This window comes from Homo sapiens, chromosome 4 (assembly GCF_000001405.40).
Source record: "Homo sapiens chromosome 4, GRCh38.p14 Primary Assembly".
Lineage (NCBI taxonomy): Eukaryota > Metazoa > Chordata > Mammalia > Primates > Hominidae > Homo > Homo sapiens.
This window is the reverse complement of record NC_000004.12, coordinates 97,902,884-97,930,465: the sequence shown is the minus strand read 5'-3', so window position 1 is coordinate 97,930,465 and position 27,582 is coordinate 97,902,884. Positions and strand designations below refer to the sequence as shown.

The following is a 27,582-nucleotide window of genomic DNA, read 5'->3' as shown; positions in this document are numbered from 1 at the left end:
AATCTGACAAGAACAAGCAATGGGGAAAACATTCCCAATTCAATAAATGACACTAGCATAACTGGTTAACCATATGCAGAAGAATGAAGCTGGACCCCCTTTTTATACCATATACAGAAAACAACTCAAGATGATTAAAGACTTACATGTGCAACCCAAAATTCTAAAAACGCTTGAGAACAACCTAGCCAATACTATCTTGGACATAAGAACAGGTAAAGATTTCATGACAAAGACACCAAAAGTAATTGCAACAAAAGTAAAAATTGGGCTGGGCATGGTGGCTCATGCCTGTAATCCCAGCACTTTAGGAGGCTGAGGTGGGTAGATTACGAGGTCAGGAGATTGAGACCATCCTGGCCAACATGGTGAAACCTCATCTCTACTAAAAATACAAAAATTAGCTGGGCGTGGTGGTGCTTGCCTGTAGTCCCAGGTATCGGGAGGCTGAGGTGGGAGAATCGCTTGAACCTGGGAGGTGGAGGTTGCAGTGAGCTGAGATCATGCCAGTGCACTCCAGCCTGGTGATAGGGTAAAACTCCGTGTCAAAACAAACAAACAAACAAAAAAACTGGAAGATGGGATTTGATTAAACTTAAGAGCTCCACAGTAAAGGAAACTATCAACAGAGTGAGCAGACAGCCTACAGAATGGGAGGGAATTATTGCAATCTACCCGTCTGACAAAGGTCTAATATGCAGCATCTATAAGGAACTTAAACAAATTTACAAGAGTAAAACAAAACCCCATTAAAAAGTGGGCAAAGGACATGAACAGACACTTATCAAAGGAAGACATACATGTGGCCAACAATCAACTGAGAAAAAGTTCAACATCACTGATAATTAGAGAAATTCAAATCAAAACTATACTGAGATACCATCTGACACCAGTGAGAAAGGCTATTATTAAGAAGTGAAAAAATAAAAGATTCTAGTGAGGTTGCAGAGAAAAAAGAATGCTTGTAGAGTGTTGGTGGGAGTGTAAACTAGTTCAACCATTGTAGAAGACAGTGTGGCAATTCCCCAAAGATCTAAAAACAGAAATCCCATTCAACCCAGCAATCTTATTACTGGGTATATTCCCAAAGGAATATAAATTGTTCTACCATAAAGACACATGCATGCAAATGCTTATTGCAGTACTATTGACAATAGCAAAGACATGGAATCAACCCAAATGCTCATCAATGACAGATTGGAGAAAGAAAATGTAGTACATATACACCATAGAATACTATGCACCCATAAAAAAATGAGATCCTGCCTTTGTGGGAACATGGATGGAGCTGGATGCTATTATCCTTAGTAAACTAATGCAGGAACAGAAAACCAACTACTACATGTTCTCACAAGTGGGAGCTAAATGATAGTTACTTATAAACACAAAGGAGGAAACAGTACACACTGGGTCTACTTGAGGGTGGAGGGTGGGAGAAGGGATAGGAGTAGAAAAGATAAACAGTGGGTACTGGGCTTAATACCTGGGTTGTGAAATATCTGTACAGCAGATCTCTGTGGTACAAGTTTACCTATGTAACAAACCTTCACATGGACCCCCAAACCTAAAATAACAGTTAAAAAAAATAAAATTGGTTTATTTTAAATCAACTACACAAATAAAAGAAGACTTAATTATAAGACAGAATATAAACTTTATAAACCTTAATATAAAATAATAAAGAGATTGGGAGATAGTATATGTTCCATATTTCTCATTTCATAATGCAGAGTTAACAGATGTTAAAAATTCACAAATCAGTATTAGGCCTTATATTAAACTTGTAATGGTACATGCAACAAAACTAACCCAAACAAAATAAAAACAAAAACAACCCCACAACAAAAATCCCTTAAAGACCTAATTACTTAAAGGAATTATTTCTTAGAATGGACCCAGGGAGAGGTCAAAGGAGGACATTTTTACTGTTTATTTTAGACCCTTGTATATGATTATATTTTTGTTTATGAAGTGAAGGTATTATTTTGAAATAAAAGTAGAAGTAGTACTCAAATGATTTAATATGCATTTGGAATGGCACTATGATGTACTGGTATCTGTATTGACCCACTCTCTGAAAATAACAAAACTTCTACACAAAAGAAACAAAACATATTAATGAATTTTTCCAAGAGTTAGAAAGTAAGGAGTACACAATACACAGGCTAAATTAAGGAGGAACCCAGAGTGGCAAGTAAAGTTCTAAAGCTAACTTTCACCGTAAGGGCATTTGCCCTACCAGATGAGTTTAGGTTTTAATTTTTATGGCCAAGGAGGGCCTCTCAGATGGAAACCAAGTTTAAGACTCTTGTAGTGGGTAGTCTCAAAGAAAATTCATTAATACACTAAAACTCTAGTGGTCAACCTATGCAGGTTAAAAGTGAAATGCAAATAAATTTACCCTTTCTACTTACCAGAGGATTGAAAGGAAGATTGCCTGTGTTGAATGTTTTGGTTTTGAGTATGTGTTAGGGGAATCACCCTGAGAATATGTTATATTTCACTTTCATTTAATGAATTAAATTATTAAAAACCACAAAACACTGTGTATCACAGACATTGGTGACATTGATTTTATTAATGAAAATAAGAGCTAATGCTTATATAGTACTTATTCCATGCCAGGCACCATTCCAAATGCATATTAACTCATTGAGTACTATAGTTATGGTAATCTTTAAAAATGAAGAAATGGAGGCGCAGAGTTTAAAGTTTAAGTTGCAGAGCCAGAATTCAAACTGAGGCAATCCAATAGAAGTCACTCTCTTTAGGGTGATTTCATGGCACTTTCCTCTGGCTTGAAAAATTAGGGTTGACTAAAATGAATATGATAGTATTATAAACTTTTTTTGTGATTTTTTAAAAAGCTATATAAGCATAAAGATCTCGGATGTTATTATAAGGTATATAACTTTTTTTAAAAAATGTAATCACTATTGTTTAGCATAAACTGAGAGAGGATTCAGCATCATAAACAATACTGTTGAAGTTAAAACTTTCCTTTAGTTATTGAGAAACTAAAAGTTGACTATCAGGTTAGTGGGAAAGGCAGTAGAAGAGTTTGATATACTTTCTTAGGTCAATTTATGGCTCAGAAAGGGCAATCATTGGCTAGTGACGACTCATAACAAAATATATCACAAAAATTATACCAACATTTTCTAAAAGTTAACAAATGACTTGAAATTTCTTAGAATTATTTAGTGAACAATTTGTGCTACCTTTGTATCACTTATCAGTTATAATACATAGAGTTGAGAATGAAAAGGAATTTAAAAATAAATTTTGATTTATATATTAATTTGTTAATTTGAGTTGTTAAATATTTTGTGTATCATCTCGAGCTAGGTTAAAGTTTAACAGCAAAAGCTTTGGAATTAGAAAAATACTTTTTAAATCTCAGCTCCACTGCCTAGTTGCGTGAGTTTAGGCAACTTCTGTAAATTTCAGTTTCCTTAACTATTAAGTAAGGATAACAAGACGTACCTGATAGGGCCATGGTAAGAATTAAGTGTGTTATTACGTACAACATTTATTTCACTGTGTTGCCTATAGTAGGCTATAAGCCTACTATATTTTTAGCTATAAAAATTGTAAAAATGGTAGAGTTATGTTTCAAAGCTAAGTCAGTCTCATGCCTGTGGTCTCTTTTCATCATTCTATTAATATAATATTAATGAAGAACATGTCTCTTTTCATCATTCTATTAATATAATATTAATGAAGAACATGTTAAAATTTAGTGATGTCTTTTTGTTTTTCACACTTCCTTGAAAGTGAAACTCATCTTTTTAAACCAGAAGCTCCTTTGTCTTGCAGAGGATTAGAATTTCTATGTCAGAAATGCAAAGGCATGGAAAGAATAAGTGTTTTACTTCGGAAACATTTCTTAAAGTTCATTTCAGAGACAATAGTTGTGGGGAGCCATGACTTTATAATGGTTCTTGGGACCAGCAGGATAGGTGGAGCATGTTCTTCTAATGGTGATGGCAGAGATATAAAAGCATTTCTATGAGAAAGAGAATAGGAAAAGTACAAGATAGGGGAAGTCTGGTAAAATGAAAGAGAGAGCCCTTCTTGGATGGGAAGGACATGGAAGGATCAAAAAGAGTAGAAAAACAAGGGAATTGAGATCTGAATTTGAGGTCTGTTTTATGCTCTCTCACATTGTGGGTGAACCCTGGTAAGACTGGAGTTTGGGAAGTAGTGGTAGGATAATCACAGACTTGGGTCTAGAAATCCCAGGGATGATGAAGTATGAACTTCATTTTCTATCTGAAAGTCTGGAAAGGTGTTAGAGTAACACCCTCCTTGTCTCATGCAGTAGGTGGCTACTGCAGATCAAAATGCATAAAGATACATTTAGGTAGAGAGGGCCTATGATCAGTCAGGATCTAGTCAGAAGACAGAACCATACTAGTAGTTTTGAGATAAAATTGTATAAGGAATTATGGATATTGGAAAGCTGAAAAGGTGAAGGAACACTAAGGTATCATGGAGGTAGTGATACAGGAAATGCCACCGTCATTAAGCCTTGAGGAATAAAAGGTATAGGTTAGAATTACTAAAATTTGAAAGCTTGCAGAGATCTTATGGAGCTGGGATTCAGAATTCAGACTTCTGAAGAGGTGTCACAGGTCAGCTGGTAAAAGTGTCTCAGGAGCTCAAAATAAAGATCCCCTGGGCCTGGGACACAGATCCTTGGGATCCTGAAGATAGTAAAAACACATTAGAAATGAATTTCAGCTGAATAAGAATCAAAGTTATTCTGACTAAAAACTGTATTTTGTTACTCTCACTTCTTTCTTTTGTTATACTTTCTCATTGAATATGGAAAATTCTTAGATTCTTGGACAGTTTTTAGGGTTTGCTTTGTTGGTTGGTCTGTTGTTATCTTATTATACAACTAACCACTGATGGGAGACAGCACATTATAATAAATTTTCTTACTGCAGGGCCATCAGTACAAGTAAAGGATTTTAGATAAATGATTTCTGACACACTGAAGAGTGAATTGGTCATAGTGAACTTATATACTTCCTGTACTTCCATTACATTTTAAACTTTTTATAAATTTTTTATTTAATTGTCTAACTTCATTAGCTCAGAAAATGGGTTTGATAAGCAAACAGCAGGAATAAGTGCTGATAGTTGCCATCTTCATCAAGGCCGAGAAGGAACAGTGAAGGAAACTGCTGAACATGATGCACTGTGATAAACCAGATTCTAACAACTTAATTCCTGATTGAGTGCTATTGCCTGTCTGGTTATATAGATTGTGAAGAGAATGCAATTCAGAACTTCTAGGTTAGAACTTTTAGTTCTGGTTATTTTTATTTGCAGTACATAAATCTCAGAAGTAATAGATTTGCAAAGAAATAATTTTATCTTTACTCTTTGGTTGATAACATTTTCTCATGTGTTTTGAGAATGCAATCTGTTCTAATTTTGAAGGTGCCATATTCATTTAGAATGAACAACAACAAATGATTCATATTCTACATAATCTCTGAGAAATAAATTCTGCTGCTGCATCTATGGCATCCATCCAACATTTTGTATCAACAAGTCATTGTTTGGTAGAAAATGTGGGAGTGAAAAGAGGGACAATATATTAAAAATGATACAGAGATGATTAGCCAGGACTTTTAACTCCATAATTTAAGGTCCCTGATGCAAACATGACTTATCTACTACCTCTACATATGTTATAATATGGTATTATTATCATTAAAACCTCTTTATATCAAATTTATGACGAATAAAACATGACATTTAAAAATTGACTTCAAATGTCTAATCATCTTAAGATGAACATATTCATGAAGAGTAAACCTTGCATTAGTATATTTAAACATTTAAGAACTCATATCCCTTTTCAAAATTACCTCCCCTAATGAAGAAGGCTGTCATCTTTAATGCTGGATTTACATGTAGAAATATGAGTCACTGATATGCTTAACATAGTTATACTTTGACCAATTCAGAATATTAAAATTTTGAGCATCTGCTCCTAATTATATACAAAACTATGTACTAATGACCTTCCCATTGGGAGTTTTTAGGGGCAGACAAAAGTCCTATTGTATTACTATAGCATGTGTAGAGGAAAAGGCATTTTCCATCACATATGTTTAAAATGTTTTTATTAAGTAACATCCTATTGTGTCTGGAATTGGTGGGTTCTTGGTCTCACTGACTTCAAGAATGAAGCCGCGGACCCTCGCGGTGAGTGTTACAGTTCTTAAAGGTGGTGTGTCCGGAGTTTGTTCCTTCTGATGTTCGGATGTGTTCAGGGTTTCTTCCTTCTGGTGGGTTCGTGGTCTCGCTGACCTCAGGAGTGAAGCTGCAGACCTTCGCGGTGAGTGTTACAGCTCATAAACGCAGTGTGGACCCAAAGAGTGAGCAGTAGCAAGATTTATTGCAAAGAGTGAAAGAACAAAGCTTCCACATTGTGGAAGGGGACCCAAGTGGGTTGCCACTGCTGGCTCAGGCAGCCTGCTTTTATTCTCTTATCTGGCCCCACCCACATCCTGCTGATTGGCCCATTTTACAGAGAGCCGATTGGTCTGTTTTACAGAGAGCTGATTGGTCCATTTTGACAGGGTGCTGACTGGTGTGTTTACAATCCCTGAGCTAGACATAAAAGTTCTCCACTAGATTAGCTAGATACAGAGTGTTGATTGGTTTACAAACCCTGAGCTAGACACAGAGTGCTGATTGGTGCATTTACAAACCTTGAGCTAGATACAGAGTGCCGATTGGTGCATTCACAATCCCTTAGCTAGACAAAAAGATTCTCCAAGTACCCAACAGATTAGCTAGACACAGAGCACTGATTGGTGCATTTACAAACCTTGAGCTAGACACAGAGTGCTGATTGATGCATTTACAAACCTTGAGCTAGATACAGAGTGCCAATTGGTGCATTCACAATCCCTTAGCTAGACATAAAGATTCTCCAAGTCCCCACTAGACTCAGGAGCCCAGCTGGCTTCATCCAGTGGATCCAGCACTGGGGCCACAGGTGGAGCTGCCTGCCAGTCCTGCGCTGTGCGCCTGCACTCCTTAGCCCTTGGGCAGTCGATGGGACGGGGCGCCCTGGAGCAGGGGGCGGCACTTGTCGGGGAGGTGGGCCACACAGGAGCCCATGGCGGGGGGGGTGGGAGGGGAAGCGCTGCGCACAGCCCCTGTTCCCACCTGTGCCTCTCTCTCCACACCCCCCCGCAGGCTGAGGGAGCTGGCTCCGGCCTGGGCCATCCCAGAAAGGGGCTCCCACAGTGCAGCGGCAGGCTGAAGGGCTCCTCAAGCATGGCCAGAGTGGGCGCCCAGGCCGAGGAGGTGCCAAGAGTGAGCGAGGGCTGCGAGGGCTGCCAGCACGCTGTCACCTCTCAATATTATTATTATCAACACAAGTACATGGGAAACCAGTGTGGAAAACTAACAGTTTTATATAGTTGAAATGACTTTGGTAGAAAAATAAAATGACATTTGTAGAGAAAAGAGGGGAAAAGGAAAAGGCCAGAGATGCAAGGAGGAGTATAAAGAAGGAAAATAATGAGAGAAAGAAATACTCATGTTATAAAGTTTCATAGGGTACATAATGACACCGGGAAAAAAGCAGAAGCATGTTGGAAAAATTGCAAGTGGATTTGGAAAATTGCAATTATGGGAAGGAACTGCTGCTTCCAGAATGTAGAAGCCTATTGAAAAGGGGAAATCCCTTCTTCCCCTAACCTTGCATATGCTGTCTAGCATCTCCTGTTTGCAGGACCTAACAGAGAGCCATCTGGCAAAGCATAAATATGGTTTGCAGATTCCTAGGTTTGGAGCTGAGAGACAGTAGTTTAAAATTTCATACATTTCACCCCATTGGCTATTCAGCATACCTGTGCATTTTTATACATATTTGAACTTCCACACAGCACTACAAACAACTTTTTTTCTTAGTAATAAGATACAACCATTTTTTGTACAACAAAGGCATTCTCAGTTTCTTCAAAATGAGGAGACACAAGTTTTTAACAGTCATTTTTTTCATCTCTGGCCAAATTTAGTCAGGCCATCTAAATATTCTGTTACTTAAATGCTGAATTATACATTTTAAATTTATGGTTGTTGTTAACTGTTACATTATTTTTTCCTTTTTTTCTCCAGCTTTTCTAAGGAATAATTAGGAAATAAAAATTACATATATATATATATGACATACAATGTGATGTTTTGATGTATGTATTCCCTGTAAAATGATGTAATAAAACTAATTAACATATTCATCACCACAAATACATTTTTGTGGTTAGAACATTTAAGATCTTAACAATTTTTAAGTATATGACCTATTATTATTAACTTCAGTCATCATGCAGCTTATTCATCAGAACTTACTCTTCCTATCAGAAACTTTGTAACCATTGGCCTAAATCTCTCCATTTCTTCACCTGCCCTCCAGCTCCTGGAAACCACCATTCTACTCTCTGCTTTTAAGAGTTCAATTTCCTTACATTCAACATATAAGTGAAATCATGCAGAATTTGTCTTTCTGTATCTGCTAATTTCCCTTATCATAATGTCCTCTAGGTTCATTCATATTGTTGCAAATGACAGGATTTCCTTCTTTTTAAAGGTTGAATAATATTACATTGTATATATGTGCCACTTTTCTTTATCCGTTGATGAACACTTAGCCTTGTCGATCTGGATGTTCATTTTCTACTCCAGATCTGCGAAGTTTTCTGTCATATTTTTCAGTAACTTTTCTATCCTTTTTTTCTCTCTGCTCCTTCTGGGAAGTGCATAATGCATATATTGATTCAGTTGATGATGTCCCATATATGTCTTGTAGGTTTTTTGCTTTCTTTTTGTTCCTCTGGGTAATTTCAAATAACCTATCTTCATGCTCACTAATTCTTTCTTCTGCTTGATTTAGTGTACTATTGGAGCTCTCTGTGGAATTTTTCAGTTTTGTCATTGTCCAGAATTTCTTTTTGGGTTCTTTTCCATGGCTTCTATCTCTTTATTGAACTTCTAATTTTGTTTCCATATTGTTTTACTGATATTTGCTTAGTTGTCTGTGTTCTCTTGTAGATCACTGAATTTTCTTAAGACAATTATTTTGACTTGTCAGGCCACTTTGGAAACTGGGGTAGGTCTGGACTATGAGTCTGCAGGAATTGAGCTGGATCCTGGGGCTGCCGGAGCAGGATTGGTAGTGGAGTGGGCCTGGAGCCTGAGGCCATTAGTGCCTGCTTGGTCAGGGGTGCATGGCAAAGTTAGGTGATCACTTCACTCTCCTTCCCCCTATGAGGAGACTATCTCTGCCCACAGTATGCTGCCTGGGCTTGGGGATGGGAGTGACACAAATAATGTAAACCGGTACTTTCTAACCTCAATGCATCTTTTATTATTTCTGTGTTACACCCAGGTGCTGTAATGTCTCACCTGAATTCTTTAGCTCTTGTTAAGGTTATCCACAACATTTTGCTTGTGGACAGTTGTTCAAGTTGATGTTTCTGTAATGAGATGAGTGTTGGAAAGTCCTATTCTCCCATCTTGCAGATACCACTCTTCGTTGTTAATTTCTTGTAAGACTTTTAGAAAATAAAAAAAGGAGGGATAAGAGGAAAGATGAAAAAAGTTAACACACACACTAGGTAAAAAAGTTAATATGCATAGTTGCCACAGTCCTTATGTGTTAACTGGTCAAAGACCATAGGTGATATTTCTTACTTCTCACGTCTATGGTCCTGTCTATGTTTCCTTTACTCTCAGCCAGGTTGTCAGCTGTTCAGGGTTCTTTATTTGTTGGAATAATCTACACCCTTCATTTTTGAAGGATATAAATCCTCTGTGGCACTGCTTTTTTTTTTGGTTGATTTACATTTTCATTAACTCTTAATAAGGAGATAAAATTATTAACAGGAACCTCAGAGAATCCACTGACACCTGCCCTCACTACGTAACATCAACCCAATTTCCACTTGTTAATTGTGATAAGTCACCCCAGTCGGTAGAGAAACTTTTACTTTGGTCCAGTGGCACGAGTAGCATAAAATACTAGTTGGCAGTCTCAACTTTTAGTTTTGTAGAATCAGAGTGTGGAAACATTCCTTCCTTGAGAACCAAGACTTCTAAACAAGTACAGCTCAAAGTTGTAGAGACAAGAGGCAAAAATTTTGTGAGTGTGTGACAAGGCGAAATAGTGAGAAGAGCTATTTGAACTTCTATTCCTTGGTTGCTGGACTTATGAGTTCTGGATATGGGGAAAGACTGCACTAGATTGATGTCTGATACAAAGCCTGTTTTAAATTCTGTAAGCCAGAATCCTGTCCTCTCAGTGTTTTGTCTCTCAATTGGCACCATAATCGAGTTTTTGGCAGTCCTTTCTGTTCTTTTAGGCCAGCTACTTTTAACTGATGAAGATGTGTTAGACCTAGTAAATTCTATGGACATGAGTCCATTGTTACATTTCTTTTCCTCTGAAATTGTTCCTTGATGGGAAATAATATACTGCCTAACATGGCAGTACATAGGCTATTCAATAAATTCAAGGAGGGCAGTGTTGGCAAAAGTAAAAAAAAGTTATAGACAGGGAATGCAAATGTCCTTTCTTATAATGACCTTTTATAGGTTTGGGGGTCAAGGTATTCTGGGTTCTTAAAAAAGAGTATCCCCCTGAATTCACTGGAAGAGTTTTTACTAGGTTTTTTCCAAGATTGAGTTATTCTTTCTTAAATATTTATAAGAATTCACTGTTAAAGTTTCTGGACCTTAGATTTTTCTCCGTGAGAAGGTTTTTGAAAAAAATATTCAGTTCCTTTAATAAATATTGAACTATTTCTTCTTTTGTCTACTTTTATTCATTCAATTTTTGAGAAATATATCCATTTTTCAAATTGCCAAATATATTTGCTTAAAGTTAATCATAACATTCTCTTCTTTTTTTTGTGTTTATGAAAACTATAGTTAAGTTCCCTCTTTTCCCTTTGATGTTGGTGATTCGTATTTTCTTTTTTTTAATTTTTCTGTAATAAGTCTTACTAGGAGTTTATCAATATTTATACTCTTTTTAAAGAAAAACTTTTGACTGTTGATATTCTCTATTATATATTTAATTTCTATTTCTTTATATTTTTTCTTTTGCATTTCTTGTGATTTTCATTTGTTTTTTTTCTAGTTTCTTAAAATGAACCCTAAATTGATAATTTTCAGCTTCTTTTCTTTTTGATTATGTATATATTTGAAGCAGAAATCGCTTTCCTTAATGTGCTACATTAGCTGAATTCTACAAATTCTGTTATGTTGGTTATTTTCACTTAGTGTAAGATGTTTTTTAATTCATGTTTGTTTTTCTATTTTGACATATTTAGAAGTGTGTTTAATCCCTATGTAGTTTTATTTTTCATTATTTGTTATTGATTTCAAGCATACTTCCATGATTGAAGTAGAGCATACTCAATTATTTCAATCTATTAAACCTTGCTTTTAATTTTTAAAAATTATTTCAATAGTTTTTGGGGAACAGGTGGTGTTTGGTTACATAAATAAGCTATTTAATGGTGATTTCTGAGATTTTGGTGTACCCATCACCCGAGCAGTGTACACTGCACCCAGTGTGTAGTCTTTTTTCCCTCACCTGTCTCCCACCCTTCCCCCGAGTTTCCAGAGTTCATTATATCATTTGTATGCCTTTGTGTTCTCATAGCTTAACTCCTACTTATAAGTGAGAACATAGGATGTTTGGTTTTCCATTCCTGAGTTACTTTATTTTGAATAATGGTCTCTAACTCCATCCAGGCTGCTGTGAATGCCATTATTTCATTCCTTTTTTATGGCTTAGTAGTATTCCATGGTGTGTATGTGTGTGTGTATATATATGTGTATACATATACACATACACATATATATTTATTTATTTCCTGGTGAAAATTAAAAAACTAGTTTTTTATTACACATACACAGCATGGACCTATGGATCAGCATGTGACCAATGTGTGTGTGTTTGTGTGTGTGTATGTGTGTGTGAAAGTAATGACCCATCATCACTTTGTGATATATAGAGAGTTCTCCTTAATGCATAAAAAATTCTTAACAGTATACACAATTTCCTGTGCTGGCTTTCTCTGTATTGTTACAATATCAATTCAGAATCCTGAATTTATCTGGAACATCTTGGTTATCTCTGACAATTGTTTTCATCTATTTTGAAGTCTATTTTTATGAACTAGTTTTTTATTTTCACCAGGAAAGTTACCTTTTGTTGGAAAAGATAGGTATAATATAGGAGTTTAGTAATTTTTCTTTCTCAGTCTAATAAGTCTTTTATGAATATAATTACTCAAGAATTTTCACAAATTTACTGAGGAACATTTGCCATGAGATTTAGGTTTTTTTTTATCTTCCTTATATACGCATGCCTTAATTTTAGAAAGATTGTTTATTTGTTAAATGCAGAGTTCTCCATTGTAGTTTTGGTATCATGCTAGGTACACAGTAGGTTCTCAGTACATACTTTTATATTTAAGGAAGAATGCAAGTCAACAGCCACTCTTTTTTTTCCTATGAGTAGTGTCCTACCTCAACGGTGGAATGGATATAGTTATGAAATATTTAATAAGCCTAAAAAGATGAAATTTAGAGGATGTAGTCTAAGAGAAATCCTTTATCTTGTCTAAAAAAAAGTGTCCAGAGAGTGGGTTTTCTTTGACATTGTATTCTGCACCTATTTTAGTGTGCTTTTGTCCCCAGAGTTTATGAGATTAACAGCTCTTTGAGGTTATTTCTATCCTCTGTATCAAGATAGCTTTTAAGATATATTTTTACCTGAATATATTTTTAAAAGCTTAAGTTTATTGTATCTATTTGAAATTGCTACTATATTATTTTAAGTTTTAACCATTATGTTTTGAATTTTTTTTTTAGCCAGGGGTAAATTATGTTCTTACATAAAAATGAAAAAATATGAAAGTCATTTATTGTTTGCTGGTGTTGAACCCGTATTGAGATCTTCTCAATTTGTTCTCTTATTTTAAAAATCTTTTGCTTGCCCCTCGCTTGGCCTGGCTATGGCGGCAGTGCTCTGCAGGCAGTGCCTCTCTCAGTCGTTGCTCTGCAGGAGAGAGAGGCAGGACTGCGGCCGGCACTACCGCGCTGTGATTTGCGCAGAGCTGAAGAAGCCCCTGACGGTTGAAGAGGTGGCCCCCCGCCCCGTCAGGCCTCACGAGGTCACAGTTGATGTCCATTTCTGTGGAGTTAACTTTGCTGATGTTTTGGTCTGCTGTGGTGAATATTAGGAAAGGCCCCATCTTCCCTTCATACCTGGAATGGAGTTTTCTGGGACAGGATTGGAGACAGACACAGATGTCAGCACAGTTAAAGAGGGAGATAGAGTTATTGGCATAAGAAACTTTAAATGTATGGCTGAAGAATGTGTCACTGATCAGAAGAACCTGTGGCAGATTCCAGAAAAGTTCTCCCTACAAGAAGCTGCTGTCCTCCATTTATCTTATGGCACTGCTATTTTTGCTCTTGAGCATCGGCCCATACCCAACCTGGAGAAATTGTTTTAGTGATGGCAGCAGCTGGAGCCACAGGCCTTGTAGTGATAGATGTGGCAACAAATGCTCTTCAGGCCAAGGTAATAGCTGCTGCTGGAAGTGGCGAGAAGTGCAACCTGGTGATGCAGAGGGGCACACAGTTCAGCGTGAACTATAGTCAGAGCAGCCTGAAGGATGCAGTGAGGAAGCTGGTGGGCAAGGGTGGGATGAATGTGGCCATCAACATGGTGGGAGGAGACGTCTTCCTGGAGGCTCTCCACAGCCTGGCATGGGAGGGCAGGATTGCAGTGGTGGGATTTGCTGGAGGGAGCATTGTTTCGGTGCCAGCCAACCTTCTGCTCCTGAAGAAGGTCTCTGTGATGGGCCTGTACTATGGTCAATACAAAGAAATGAACTTTCCCGTCTTCTCCAGGAGCCTGTCTTCAGTGCTTCAGTACTGCCAACAAGGGCGCATCCAACCATATGTTGGAATGGTTTTCAAGCTGGAGGAGGTCAGTGATGCCTTCCTTCATGTGATACAGGGGAAATCCATGGGCAAGGTGCTTCTTGCTGTTAAATAAATCCTCACCTCAGCAGCAAAGTTAACATGTCCAGATCAAAACTCAACATATTTCCCCAAAACCTGATTTCCCTTCTGTGTTTCCAAAGGTGTTACCACTTTCCTTACTAATCCAGGTTTAAAGTCTTGGAGTCACCTTTGATTCCTTTTACTCATTGCTCCTAATTAATATGATAATATAGCTTATTGTCCAAACATGGACCTTTTGGAGAGTAAAAGGGTGCCATTTGTAATTACACTAGGAAAACATATCCCAGGCAAATCAGGATATATTGTCAGCCTACTTGATGCATTATGAAATGCAGTGATTGCCGAGTTCTGTCATTCACACCTCTAAGATATCTCTCACGTCCATATCCTCTTTTCCATTCTGACTAATTATGCCCCATCTGCTATCACCAGTGACCTTCTAACTGCTTTTCCTACCTTTAAATTACTCTCACCCCCTCTATCCTTGCAATGCATTATTGCCATGGTGATCTTCCCGAAGCATAGCTCTGACTATGTCCCATCTCAAAAACCTACAGTGGCTCACCATTGCCTGATGGTGGAGTTCAGACTCCTTGAGCTAGCATTTCATTATGACCATGATTTTTCCCTGCATCACTTTCCAGCCTTATGGTCCACAATTCCACTGGGCCCTAAGTATGTACTGAACTTTCCTGCCTCCGTCATTTTGCTCTGCTTGTACAATTTTTTTCCACCCTCTATCTCTGTCAAACATAAGCCTTCCTGACCTCTAAGACCTACCTTTGTCATGTGCCTTTACCCTCAGGCAAGGGGCAGTCTCTTCTCTTCCTCTTCTACCTTCCTGGAGCTTCCCCAGGATTTGTCACATTCTGCCTTGAATCATAGGGAACAACATGTATAGTGGAATGAACACAGGCCTCTGAATCCAAGATGTGAGTTTAAATCCCAGCTTTGGAGGTGGTTACTTAAGGTCTCAGTGCCTTCATTTTTCTCCCTATATAAAATGGATGTTACAGTATCTACCTCACAGAGTCATTGGGAGCTATATATGCAGTGATTGGGTAAAACACTTGGCACATGGCAAGCAATTAGTAAATGCTGGTTACGTCTACTTCCTTTTCTTCTCTTTTCCCAGTGTATCGTAAATTCCTTAAGAGCAGGCACCATGTCTGATTTACCCTTGTACTTCCCACAGTACTTCCCATAGTGAGTTACCCTTAGTAACTACTCAGTAAGTTGAATTTAATTTAAATTACCTGTAAGTCTTAAACTGTGGGATTAAATTAAGAATATGTTGTCCTGGAAACACCCAAATATCTATCACTAGATGAATGGATAAACAAATTGTGGTATACACATAATGGAATATTATTCAGCCTTAAAAAGGAATGAAATTCTGACGTGCTATAATATGATGAACCTTGAGGACATTATATGTGAAATAAGCCAGACAGAAAAGGACAAATACTATATGATTCCACTTATATGAAGTACCTAGAGTAGTGAAATTCATAGAAACAGAAAGTACACGTTGACATCCCAAATCTGAAATGGGAAACGCTCCAAAATCTGAAACTTTTTGAATGCCGACATGATGCTCAAAGAAAATGCTCATTGGAGCATTTCAGATTTTGGATTTTTGGATTTGGGATGCTCAATTGGCATAATGCGAGTATTCCAAACTCCAAAAAAATCTGAAGTCCAAAACACTTCTGGTCTCAAGAATTTTGGATAAAGAATACTCAGTGTGCAACTTGTAGAATGGTGGTTGCAAGTGGGGAGGAGAGAATGGAGAGTTATTGTTTAATGGTACAATGTTTCTGTTTGGGAAGATGGAAAGTTTTGGAGGTGTGTGGTGGTTATGGTTATGCAACAATGGTAAGGTACTTAGTACTGCTTAACTGTACACTTAAAAATTATAAAAATGATACATTTTATGTGTCTTACAACAATAAAAAAAGTTAAAAAAAATCTTTTCATGACCTAGTATTTTATTTTCCTGGTGAGCTATTTGATGCCTGTTTTCTTAAGTTTAGTTCAGTATGCTGATTCTTTTTTTTACAGTGATGGTGGACCACTATTACAATGTTTTCAATTGGGCTTCAGAGAATCCTCAGATTAGTTGTGTTTACCTTAAAAGAAATTTCTTGGAATATATGATGAGCAATCAGTTTAACTTGGGGTAATAATTTACTTTCAGACAAAGATTACTCTGAAAACAGCTCTATAGAGGGAGATTTTCGTGCTTGTTGGTGTCAAGCACTGTGTGTATCCAGTTCAGATAAATCATTTCAAAGGTTTGATTGTATTGCATGTGTAGGTCTATGTTTCATAGCTGTTACGTATCGTAGAAATTTTACTTTTAGTACCTTATTCTGAATGTACAGCTTTGATTTGAGCTTGAATATTCTCAGGATTTGCAATTATAATTTTATGTTATTTCTGATTGAAATAAACACTCAAAGTCAGGAAGTATCTAAAAATTATATTATTGTAAATGTTAAAATTTTTCTTCAACTTGCTCATTTAAATTTGCTTATTAAATTTAATATATTCACACTTAAATTTCAAATTTAGCATCAGATTATGTAGAACATTTTGGGGTTTATGTATGCACTAGAAAGTTTTAAAATTTGAAACCTATTGATTCTGATATTTGTTTTATTTATCAACATTATGAAGCCCCTATAAGGAATGAGGATTTTTACTCTTTATTCCATAATGTGGAGGTGTGTGTTCCACTACTGATGACCCTTGGGAATATTGCCAAACTTGGAATTACCTATCACTGTGCACTGTAATCTTAATTGATAATTTAAAGCTATACTATCATTATTATATGCGCAAGGAGGAGGAGCTGTTCTATAGGTTAGGAACCCAATAAGTTATTTATGTCTATAGCCTATCGTCTTCCTTGACTTCAGACATATTCATACTTGTCTCTCTGATGTCTCAACTTGGATTTCTAATTGGTATTTCTAATTTTAATGCATCCAAAACCAATCAGTTTTTGTAACTTCTTTATTTGCTCTAATTCCAAACAAACAGCATGTAAGTATTGGAAAATACAGCTCAAGTGATGGATTAGGCAGATACCGGTTTTGAGGGAAGTAAAATTTGAGCTTGTTCTTAAAGTTAATAAAGTGATTGATAAAGATGAAGAAAAATAGAATCATTTGTTAACTTCCCAGGACAGCTTATTTATTCTCCTTCATTGCCTGTTTCTGTCTCTGTCACAACTCTGAATTTTCCTTGAAGCTTATATTATACAAACTATTTTCAGAATAAAGCTGAATTTTAGCACAATTATAAAATACCTATTATGTTGTTAGCATTCTTGGAAGATAGACATCAGCGTAAATTTGTTCTGCTAAAAGAACTTTTTGTTAGAAGCTATCAGGTCCTTCTAAGCTTTATCATAAAGGTATCTCTTTCCTCTTTAGAATTGTATTATTGGGTCATTAGTACAATTAGATGTCTCCATTTTATGGTAGGTCAAAATTATTTGTCACTTATTTAGGCCAGCGTTTCTCAACTCTTAAAAAGCTTCTTAGAATCATCTAGAGAACTTTACAAAATGCCAATGCATGGCATCTCCTAGATGATATCCTGCAGTATGCTTTCCAACTTGATTCTGTTCTTTCTGTCTCTTTCAGGCACCTCAATCATTCATAGGTTTGGTCTTTTTAAATTATCCCAAATTTCTTGGAGGCTTTGTTATTCCTTTTCATTCTTTTTTGTTCATTCCTTCTCATTCTTTTCTCTCTATTCTTGTTTGCCTGTCTCATTTCAGAAAGGTCATCTTCAAGCTCTGAGATTCTTTCCTCCACTTGGTCTATTCTGGTATTGATACTTGTGAGTGCATCGTGAAGTTTTTGTGTTGTATTTCAGCTCCATCAGGTTGGTTATGTTTCTCTCTAAACTGGCTATTGTGGCTGTCAGCTCCTGTATTGTTTTATCTTGATTGTTAGCTTCTTTGTGTTGGGTTACAACATGTTCCTTTAGCTCAGCCAAGTTAATTATTATCCACCTTCTGAAGTCTACTTCTTTCAATTCAGCGGTCTCAGCCTCAGCCCAGTTCTGTGCCCTTGCTGGAGAGGCATTGTGATCATTTGAAGAATAGGCGCTGTAGTTTTTTGACTTTTCAGTGTTTTTGTGTTGATTTTTTTCCCTCATCTTTGTGGGCTTATCTACCTTCGATCTTTGAGGTTGCTGATCTTTGAATGTTTTTTTTGTAGGGTGTTTTTTTTTCTTTCTGTTTTTCTTCTAACAGGCCGCTCTTCTGCAGGGCTGCCGCGTGTTTTGGGGGGTCCACTCCGGACCCTAATCGCCTGGGTCCCTCCCACACCTGACGGTATCACCAGTGGAGATTACAACACAGTAAAGATGGCAGCCTGCTCCTTCCTCAGGGAGCTTTGTTCCAGAAGGGTACGAACCTGATGCCAGCTCAAATATTCCTGTAGGAGGTGTCTGGAGACTCTTGTTGGAGGTCACCCAGTCGGGAAGAACGGGATTAGGGACCTGCTTAAAGAAGCAGTCTGGCTGCCTCTTGGTGGGGTGACTCCGCTGTGCTGGAGAACCCTTCTCCTGCAGACCGCCCAGACTCTCCACAGCCGGCAGGCAGGAAATGCTATGTCTGCTGAACCGTGAAGACCTTTGTCGCTTCTCCCCACCAGGGGCTCCCTCCCAGGGAGATCAGAGTTCTGTCTGGTAAAACCCTTGCTAGAGTTGCTGAAATTCCTCCAGGAAGGACTTGCCTGGTGAGGAGGGATGGATTAGGGTCCCACTTAAAAAAGCAGTCTGGCCACGATTTGCCACAGCAGCTGTGCTGTGTTGTGGGGAATTCCTCCCAATCTGGACCACCCAGACTTCCAGGAGCTGCAGGCCAGGATGGCTGACTCCAGCTGCAGAGATGGCAGCTGCCCCTGCCCCCCGGGAACTTGGTAGTCGCAGGCAGTCTCCAACCTATTGCCACTGGGCGTCTGGAGTTCCAAGCCAGTGGGTCTTAACTTGTGAGGAGCTCTGGGAGTGGGGCCTGCTGAACGAGCCTGCTTGGCTCCCTGGCTTTTCTACAGGAATGGACGGGTGTCCTGCCTCATTGGAATTCCCAGGCACGGAGTATGCAAAAACTCCTGTGTTTCTGTGTGTGCCAGATCAGCCGCTGACAGTCTGCACAGCTCTGTGCTTTTCACCCAAGGCCCTGGTGGCCTGGGCTTGAAGGGATCTTATTCGTGGGTTGCAAAGATCTGTGGGAAAAGCCTGGTTTCCCAGGCAGGGTCGCACAATCACTCACCCCCTTTCTTGGCTGGAGCTGGGAGCTCCCCTTGCCCATGCGGCTTGTGCTTCCAGGTGAGCTATTGCCCCACTCTGTTTTTCCTCTCTCTACATGGGTCACGCCGATTGCGTAGTCAGTACCAAACGAGAACCTGGATACCTTAGTTGAAGGTGTAGAATTCACTTTCCATTTTTGTTCTTCTCTGTGAAAGCCGCAGTTCGCAGCTGCTTCTAATTGGTCATCTTGGCCTGCCCCCTAATTTTTATTTTTTTCCAAGAATTTATAATTGCTTGTTGATACTTTCGTATGATACCTGCTTTAAATGTCTTGTCAGATACTTCTAGCATTTGTTCCATCTTGGTGTTGTCATCTGTTGACTGTCTTTTCTCATTTTAGTTGAAATTTTTTCTTTTTATTGTTATGATGAGTACTTTTGAAATGCGTTCTATACATTTTCAGTATCGTGTTATGAAATTACAGTTTCTATTTACATCTTCTGTTTTAGTAGAAAGTCAGATTATTTGGGTTTAAAGCATATATCCTGGACCACTTTTGTGGGCTGTGGTTCAGATGTCAATTTGGTGCTTAAAAACGCCACAGTACTTTTCTGTTCTGTTTATATGGTACCCAGTGGACTTTTTGAAACATGGACAGTATTCCACATGATAATTTAATTTTCAGAGCTTTTGCTATATTGATTTTAGTTTCACCTATGAGTCTTTTGGGAGTATATGCAGGATTTCATACACAGATTTGAACATTTCCTTTATTTTCCCCGACCTTTCCATAATCTACCACTTCTCAACTATTATCTAGCTGGGAAGAGGCAAGGTGCTGCCTTTTGCTGTTATTTACTTAGTACAGGATGAGTTCGATGACATGGCTCTGCCCAAGAGTTTCTGCAGCACCCGGTGGTGAGTGGGAGGAATGTCACCTTGTTAGTACAGTACCTAGGGAGTCAACAGGACTCTGCATAACAATCTCTACAAAACTTGGTGGGGAAGGGGCAGGATGAAGTTCCTTTTGTGGTATTTCTGTGGAGCAGAGAGGGTATAGTCACAAGTTTTTCTGCAGGGATTTACTTCAGAATATTTACATACAAAGTCATATAATCTATGGAAAGTGACTTTACAAATCCTATGAATATTATTATTATTATCATGTTTTAGTGTAGTGGCATTGGCATCATCAGTAGGATGCTGGATAAAACTGGTGCAAGTGAGTATCCTTAGCTTGTTTCTGGGGGAAAGTTTTAATAATTCACTATACTGTATAATATGCTTAGTAATTTAAAAATATTATTTACCATTTAAAGAAGTCTGCTTCTATTTCTAGTTTATCAAGTGTTATATTAGGAATATATTCTAAATTTTATTAAGCATTTTTTCAAATCTATTGGGTTACTTATGATTTTTTAATTCTCTTATCAAGTAAATTATATTGATTACTTTTTAAATGCAAATTTATTTTTGCATGTGTTGAATAAAATGTAGGTGTTTTTGATGTATCCTTTTAATATGTCACAGCACTATTTACTAATATTTTATTTAGGACTTTTGTTTCTATTTTTGTGGGATGCATTGGTCTGTAATTTCCTTTTTAGTAATTTCCTTGTTAGGGTTTGATGTCATGGTTATGGTCACCACATAAAGTTGGTAAGTGTTGCCTGTTTTTCCATTTTCTGAAAGAATTTGTGTGAGATTGTTGTTGAATTTACTGGTGTAACCATTTGAGGGTAGATTCTTTATGTAAGATAGCTTTTAATAACAGATTAAATTTGGTAGATTTGGTAGATTTAGAAATTATTTTTCATTTTTTTCTTCTGCCAATTTCTTTTCATTTTATTTAAATTTTCAAATGTATTTGCATAAAGTTGTTCATAATGTGCTTTTATTATTTTTAATGTTTCTAGGATATATAATTAACAATTGCTTCTTAAAATTCCTGATTAGCTTATGCTTTTTCACTCTTTCTGTTTGTTTTTGTTTTTGTTTTTGTTTGTTTGCCTTTTGATTGTTTATTGGGGCTTGATGGGTTGTTTATTATAGCAGCTGCCACAACTTATTATTATTATTATTATTATTATTATTATTATACTTTAAGTTTTAGGGTACATGTGCACAATGTGCAGGTTAGTTACATATGTATACATGTGCCATGCTGGTGCGCTGCACCCACTAACTTGTCATCTAGCATTAGGTATATCGCCCAATGCTATCCCTCCCCCCTCCCCCAACCCCACAACAGTCCCCAGAATGTGATGTTCCCCTTCCCGTGTCCATGTGTTCTCATTGTTCAATTCCCACCTATGAGTGAGAATATGCGGTGTTTGGTTTTTTGTTCTTGCGATAGTTTACTGAGAATGATGATTTCCAATTTCATCCATGTCCCTACAAAGGACATGTACTCATCATTTTTTATGGCTGCATAGTATTCCATGGTGTATATGTGCCACATTTTCTTAATCCAGTCTATCATTGTTGGACATTTGGGTTGGTTCCAAGTCTTTGCTATTGTGAATAATGCTGCAATAAACATATGTGTGCATGTGTCTTTATAGCAGCATGATTTATAATCCTTTGGGTATATACCCAGTAATGGGATGGCTGGGTCAAATGGTATTTCTAGTTCTAGATCCCTGAGGAATCGCCACACTGACTTCCACAATGGTTGAACTAGTTTACAGTCCCACCAACAGCGTAAAAGTGTTCCTATTTCTCCACATCCTCTCCAGCACCTGTTGTTTCCTGACTTTTTAATGATTGCCATTCTAAGTGGTGTGAGATGGTATCTCATTGTGGTTTTGATTTGCATTTCTCTGATGGCCAGTGATGGTGAGCATTTTTTCATGTGTTTTTTGGCTGCATAAATGTCTTCTTTTGAGAAGTGTGTGTTCATGTCCTTTGCCCACTTTTTGATGGGGTTGTTTTTTTCTTGTAAATTTGTTTGAGTTCATTGTAGATTCTGGATATTAGCCCTTTGTCAGATGAGTAGGTTGCGAAAATTTTCTCCCATTTTGTAGGTTGCCTGTTCACTCTGATGGTAGTTTCTTTTGCTGTGCAGAAGCTCTTTAGTTTAATAAGATCCCATTTGTCAATTTTGGCTTTTGTTGCCATTGCTTTTGGTGTTTTAGACATGAAGACCTTGCCCAAGCCTATGACCTGAATGGTCAGGCCTAGGTTTTCTTCTAGGGTTTTTATGGTTTTAGGTCTAACGTTTAAGTCTTTAATCCATCTTGAATTGATTTTTGTATAAGGTGTAAGGAAGGGATCCAGTTTCAGCTTTCTACATATGGCTAGCCAGTTTTCCCACCACTATTTATTAAATAGGGAATCCTTTCCCCATTGCTTGTTTTTCTGAGGTTTGTCAAAGATCAGATGGTTGTAGATAAGTGGCGTTATTTCTGAGGGCTCTGTTCTGTTCCATTGGTCTATATCTCTGTTTTGGTACCAGTACCATGCTGTTTTGGTTACTGTAGCCTTGTAGTATAGTTTGAAGTCAGGTAGCATGATGCCTCCAGCTTTGTTCTTTTGGCTTAGGATTGACTTGGCGATGTAGGCTCTTTTTTGGTTCCATATGAACTTTAAAGTAGTTTTTTCCAATTCTGTGAAGAAAGGCATTGGTAGCTTGATGGGGATGGCATTGAATCTGTAAATTACCTTGGGCAGTATGGCCATTTTCACAATATTGATTCTTCCTACCCATGAACATGGATTATTCTTCCATTTGTTTGTATCTTCTTTTATTTCCTTGAGCAGTGGTTTGTAGTTCTCCTTGAAGAGGTCCTTCACATCCCTTGTAAGTTGGATTCCTAGGTATTTTATTCTCTTGGAAGCAATTGTGAATGGGAGTTCACTCATGATTTGGCTCTCTGTTTGTCTGTTGTTGGTGTATAAGAATGCTTGTGATTTTTGTACATTGATTTTGTATCCTGAGACTTTGCTGAAGTTGCTTATCAGCTTAAGGAGATTTTGGGCTGAGATAATGGGGTTCCCTAGATATACAATCATGTCGTCTGCAAACAGGGACAATTTGACTTCCTCTTTTCCTAATTGAATACCCTTTATTTCCTTCTCCTGCCTAATTGCCCTGGCCAGAACTTCCAACACTATGTTGAATAGGAGTGGTGAGAGAGGGCATCCCTGTCTTGTGCCAGTTTTCAAAGGGAATGCTTCCAGTTTTTGCCCATTCAGTATGAGATTGGCTGTGGGTTTGTCATAGATAGCTCTTATTATTTTGAGATACGTCCCATCAATACCTAATTTATTGAGAATTTTTAGTTTGACGGGGTGTTGAATTTTGTCAAAGGCCTTTTCTGCATCTATTGAGATAATCATGTGGTTTTTGTCTTTGGCTCTGTTTATATGCTGGATTACATTTATTGATTTGTGTATATTGAACCAGCCTTGCATCCCAGGGATGAAGCCCACTTGATCATGGTGGATAAGCTTTTTGATGTGCTGCTGGATTCGGTTTGCCAATATTTTATTGAGGATTTTTGCATCAATGTTCATCAAGGATATTGGTCTAAAATTCTCTTTTTTGGTTGTGTCTCTGCCAGGCTTTGGTATCAGGATGATACTGGCCTGATAAAATGAGTTAGGGAGGATTCTCTCTTTTTCTATTGATAGGAATAGTTTCAGAAGGAATGGTACCAGCTCCTCCTTGTACCTCTGGTAGAATTCGGCTGTGAATCCATCTGGTCCTGGACTCTTTTTGGTTGGTAAGCTATTGACTATTGCCACAATTTCAGATCCTTTTATTGGTGTATTCAGAGATTCAACTTCTTCCTGGTTTAGTCTTGGGAGGGTGTATGTTTCGAGGAATTTATCCATTTCTTCTAGATTTTCTAGTTTATTTGCGTAGAGGTGTTTGTAGTATTCTCTGATAGTAGTTTGTATTTCTGTGGGATCGGTGGTGATATCCCCTTTATCATTTTTTATTGCATCTATTTGATTCTTCTCTCTTTTTTTCCTTATTAGTCTTGCTAGCGGTCTATCAGTTTTGTTGATCCTTTCAAAAAACCAGCTGCTGGATTCATTACTTTTTTGAAGGGTTTTTGTGTCTCTATTTCCTTCAGTTCTGCTCTGATCTTAGTTATTTCTTGCCTTCTGCTGGCTTTTGAATGTGTTTGCTCTTGCTTTTCTAGTTCTTTTAATTGTGATGTTAGGGCGTCAATTTTGGATCTTTCCTGCTTTCTCTTGTGGGCATTTAGTTCTATAAATTTCCCTCTACACACTGCTTTGAATGCGTCCCAGAGATTCTGGTATGTTGTGTCTTTGTTCTCGTTGGTTTCAAAGAATTGCAACTCCTGCCTTTTTTTATTTTCCATTTGCTTGGTAGATCTTCCTCCATCCTTTTATTTTGAGCCTATGTGTGTCTCTGCACGTGAGATGGGTTTCCTGAATACAGCACACTGATGGATCTTGACTCTTTATCCAATTTGCCAGTCTGTGTCTTTTAATGGAGCATTTAGTCCATTTACATTTAAAGTTAATATTGTTATGTGTGAATTTGATCCTGTCATTATGATGTTAACTGGTTATTTTGCTCGTTAGTTGATGCAGTTTCTTCCTAGTCTCGATGGTCTTTACATTTTGGCATGATTTTGCAGTGGCTGGTACCGGTTGTTCCTTTCCATGTTTGGCACTTCCTTCAGGAGCTCTTTTAGGGCAGGCCTGGTGGTGACAAAATCTCTCAGCATTTGCTTGTCTGTAAAGTATTTTATTTCTCCTTCACTTATGAAGCTTAGTTTGGCTGGATATGAAATTGTGGGTTGAAAATTCTTTTCTTTAAGAATGTTGAATATTGGCCCCCACTGTCTTCTGGCTTGTAGAGTTTCTGCCGAGACATCCGCTGTTAGTCTGATGGGCTTCCCTTTGAGGGTAACCCGACCTTTCTCTCTGGCTGCCCTTAACATTTTTTCCTTCATTTCAACTTTGGTGAATCTGACAATCATGTGTCTTGGAGTTGCTCTTCTCGAGGAGTATCTTTGTGGCGTTCTCTGTACTTCCTGAATCTGAATGTTGGCCTGCCTTGCTAGATTGGGGAAATTCTCCTGGATAATATCCTGCAGAGTGTTTTCCAACTTGGTTCCATTCTCCCCGTCACTTTCAGGTACACCAATCAGACGTAGATTTTGTCTTTTCACATAGTCCCATATTTCTTGGAGGCTTTGCTCGTTTCTTTTTATTCTTTTTCTCTAAAGTTCCCTTCTCACTTCATTTCATTCATTTCATCTTCCATCGCTGATACCCTTTCTTCCAGTTGATTGCATCGGCTTCTGAGCCTTCTGCATTCTTCACGTAGTTCTCAAGCCTTGGTTTTCAGCTCCATCAGCTCCTTTAGGCACTTCTCTGTATTGATTATTCTAGTTATACATTCTTCTAAATTTTTTTCAAAGTTTTCAACTTCTTTGCCTTTGGTTTGAATGTCCTCCCATAGCTCGGAGTAATTTGATTATCTGAATCCTTCTTCTATCAGCTCGTCAAAGTCATTCTCTGTCCAGCTTTGTTCCGTTGCTGGTGAGGAACTGCGTTCCTTTGGAGGAGGAGAGGCAGGAAACTGCTTTTTAGAGTTTCCAGTTTTTCTGTTCTGTTTTTTCCCCATCTTTGTGGTTTTATCTACTTTTGGTCTTTGATGATGGTGATGTACAGATGGGTTTTTGGTGTGGATATCCTTTCTGTTTGTTAGTTTTCCTTTTAACAGACAGGACCCTCAGCTGCAGGTCTGTTGGAGTACCTGGCCAGCCGTGTGAGGTGTCAGTCTGCCCCTGCTGGGGGGTGCCTCCCAGTTAGGCTGCTCGGGGGTCAGGGGTCAGGGACCCACTTGAGGAGGCAGTCTGCCTGTTCTCAGATCTCCAGCTGTGTGCTGGGAGAACCACTGCTCTCTTCAAAGCTGTTAGACAGGGACATTTAAGTCTGCAGAGGTTACTGCTGTCTTTTTGTTTTTCTGTGCCCTGCCCCCAGAGGTGGAGCCTACAGAGGCAGGCAGGCCTCCTTCAGCTGTGGTGGGCTCCACCCAGTTCGAGCTTTCCAGCTGCTTTGTTTACCTAAGCAAGCCTGGGCAATGCTGGGCGCCCCTCCCCCAGCCTCGCTGCTGCCTTGCAGTTTGATCTCAGACTGCTGTGCTAGCAATCAGCGAGACTCTGTGGGCGTAGGACTCTCTGAGCCAGGTGCGGAATATAATCTCGTGGTGCGCCATTTTTTAAGCCCGTTGGAAAAGCGCAGTATTCGGGTGGGAGTGACCCGATTTTCCAGGTGCCATCTGTCACCCCTTTTTTTGACTAGGAAAGGGAACTCCCTGACCCCTTGCGCTTCCCGAGTGAGGCAATGTCTCGCCCTGCTTCGGCTCCTGCACAGTTTGCGCACCCACTGACCTGCGCCCACTGTCTGGCACTCCCTAGTGAGATGAACCCAGTACCTCAGATGGAAATGCAGAAATCACCAGTCTTCTGCGTTGCTCACGCTGGGAGCTGTTGCTATTCGGCCATCTTGGCTCCTTCCCCTCTTTTTTTGTTAATCGGTCTTACTACATGAGTTTTATTGGTCTTTTAAAATAGCCGTCTTGTGGCTTTATTTTTGATTCTATATTTATTGTACTCACTGTCTATTATTTTTCTCCTTTATTTACTTTATTTAATTTGCTGTTTTTTTTTTAGATTTTTAATTGTATGCTTAGATACTTGATTTTTGGCCATTTTTTAATTTTAATTTTTTCCAGCTATAATGAAGTGTAATTGACAAATAAAAATTGTGTATATTCAAAGTGTACAATGTGATGTTTTGAGATACACACATATATGCACATACATTGTAGAATAATTGCCACAACTAATCATATTATCATATCCATTATCTCATATAGTTTCCTTTTTGTGTGTATGTAATTAGAATAATTGAGATCTATTCTCTTGGCAAATTTCAAGTATACAATACACTGTTATTATTACAGTCACTATGCTGTGCGGTAGGTGTCCAGAATATATTCATTTTGTAACTTCGAGTTTGAACCCTTTGACCACCATCTCATTTTTCTGATATCCTGACTCCTAGTAACCATCCTTCTACTCTGTTTCTATGAGTTTGACTTTTTAAGACTATATATAAGTGAGATCATGCAAACTTTTTCTTTTTAAAGGCTGAATAATATTCATTCATATAAATATATATATCACATTTTCTCTATCTGTTCATCCATTAGTGGCCACTTATGTTGATTTC

The 27,582-nt window shown here is 38.1% G+C and overlaps 1 protein-coding gene and 1 pseudogene across 7 annotated transcripts in view, besides 2 other annotated features; both read left to right on the top strand.

Annotated features, from left to right (window-relative positions):
• The window catches only part of STPG2 (sperm tail PG-rich repeat containing 2), a 702,228-nt gene that overhangs the window by 213,011 nt on the left and 461,635 nt on the right, over positions 1–27,582 (top strand). The gene's annotated exons all lie outside the window — the stretch shown is intronic.
• Positions 6,197–6,398: a silencer, noted in NCBI's record as "fragment chr4:98845219-98845420 (GRCh37/hg19 assembly coordinates)". NCBI's record gives its function as "represses an EF-1alpha promoter that drives an FKBP-Casp9 reporter gene in an ReSE screen in K562 erythroleukemia cells {active_cell/tissue: K562}" and the evidence as "EXISTENCE:reporter gene assay evidence [ECO:0000049][PMID:32094911]".
• CRYZP2 (crystallin zeta pseudogene 2) lies at positions 13,042–16,048 on the top strand (annotated as a pseudogene).
• Positions 26,089–26,637: an enhancer, noted in NCBI's record as "NANOG-H3K27ac hESC enhancer chr4:98824980-98825528 (GRCh37/hg19 assembly coordinates)". NCBI's record gives its function as "activates a minimal SCP1, AML or CMV promoter by ChIP-STARR-seq in naive H9 embryonic stem cells {active_cell/tissue: H9 hESC(naive)}" and the evidence as "EXISTENCE:reporter gene assay evidence [ECO:0000049][PMID:30033119]".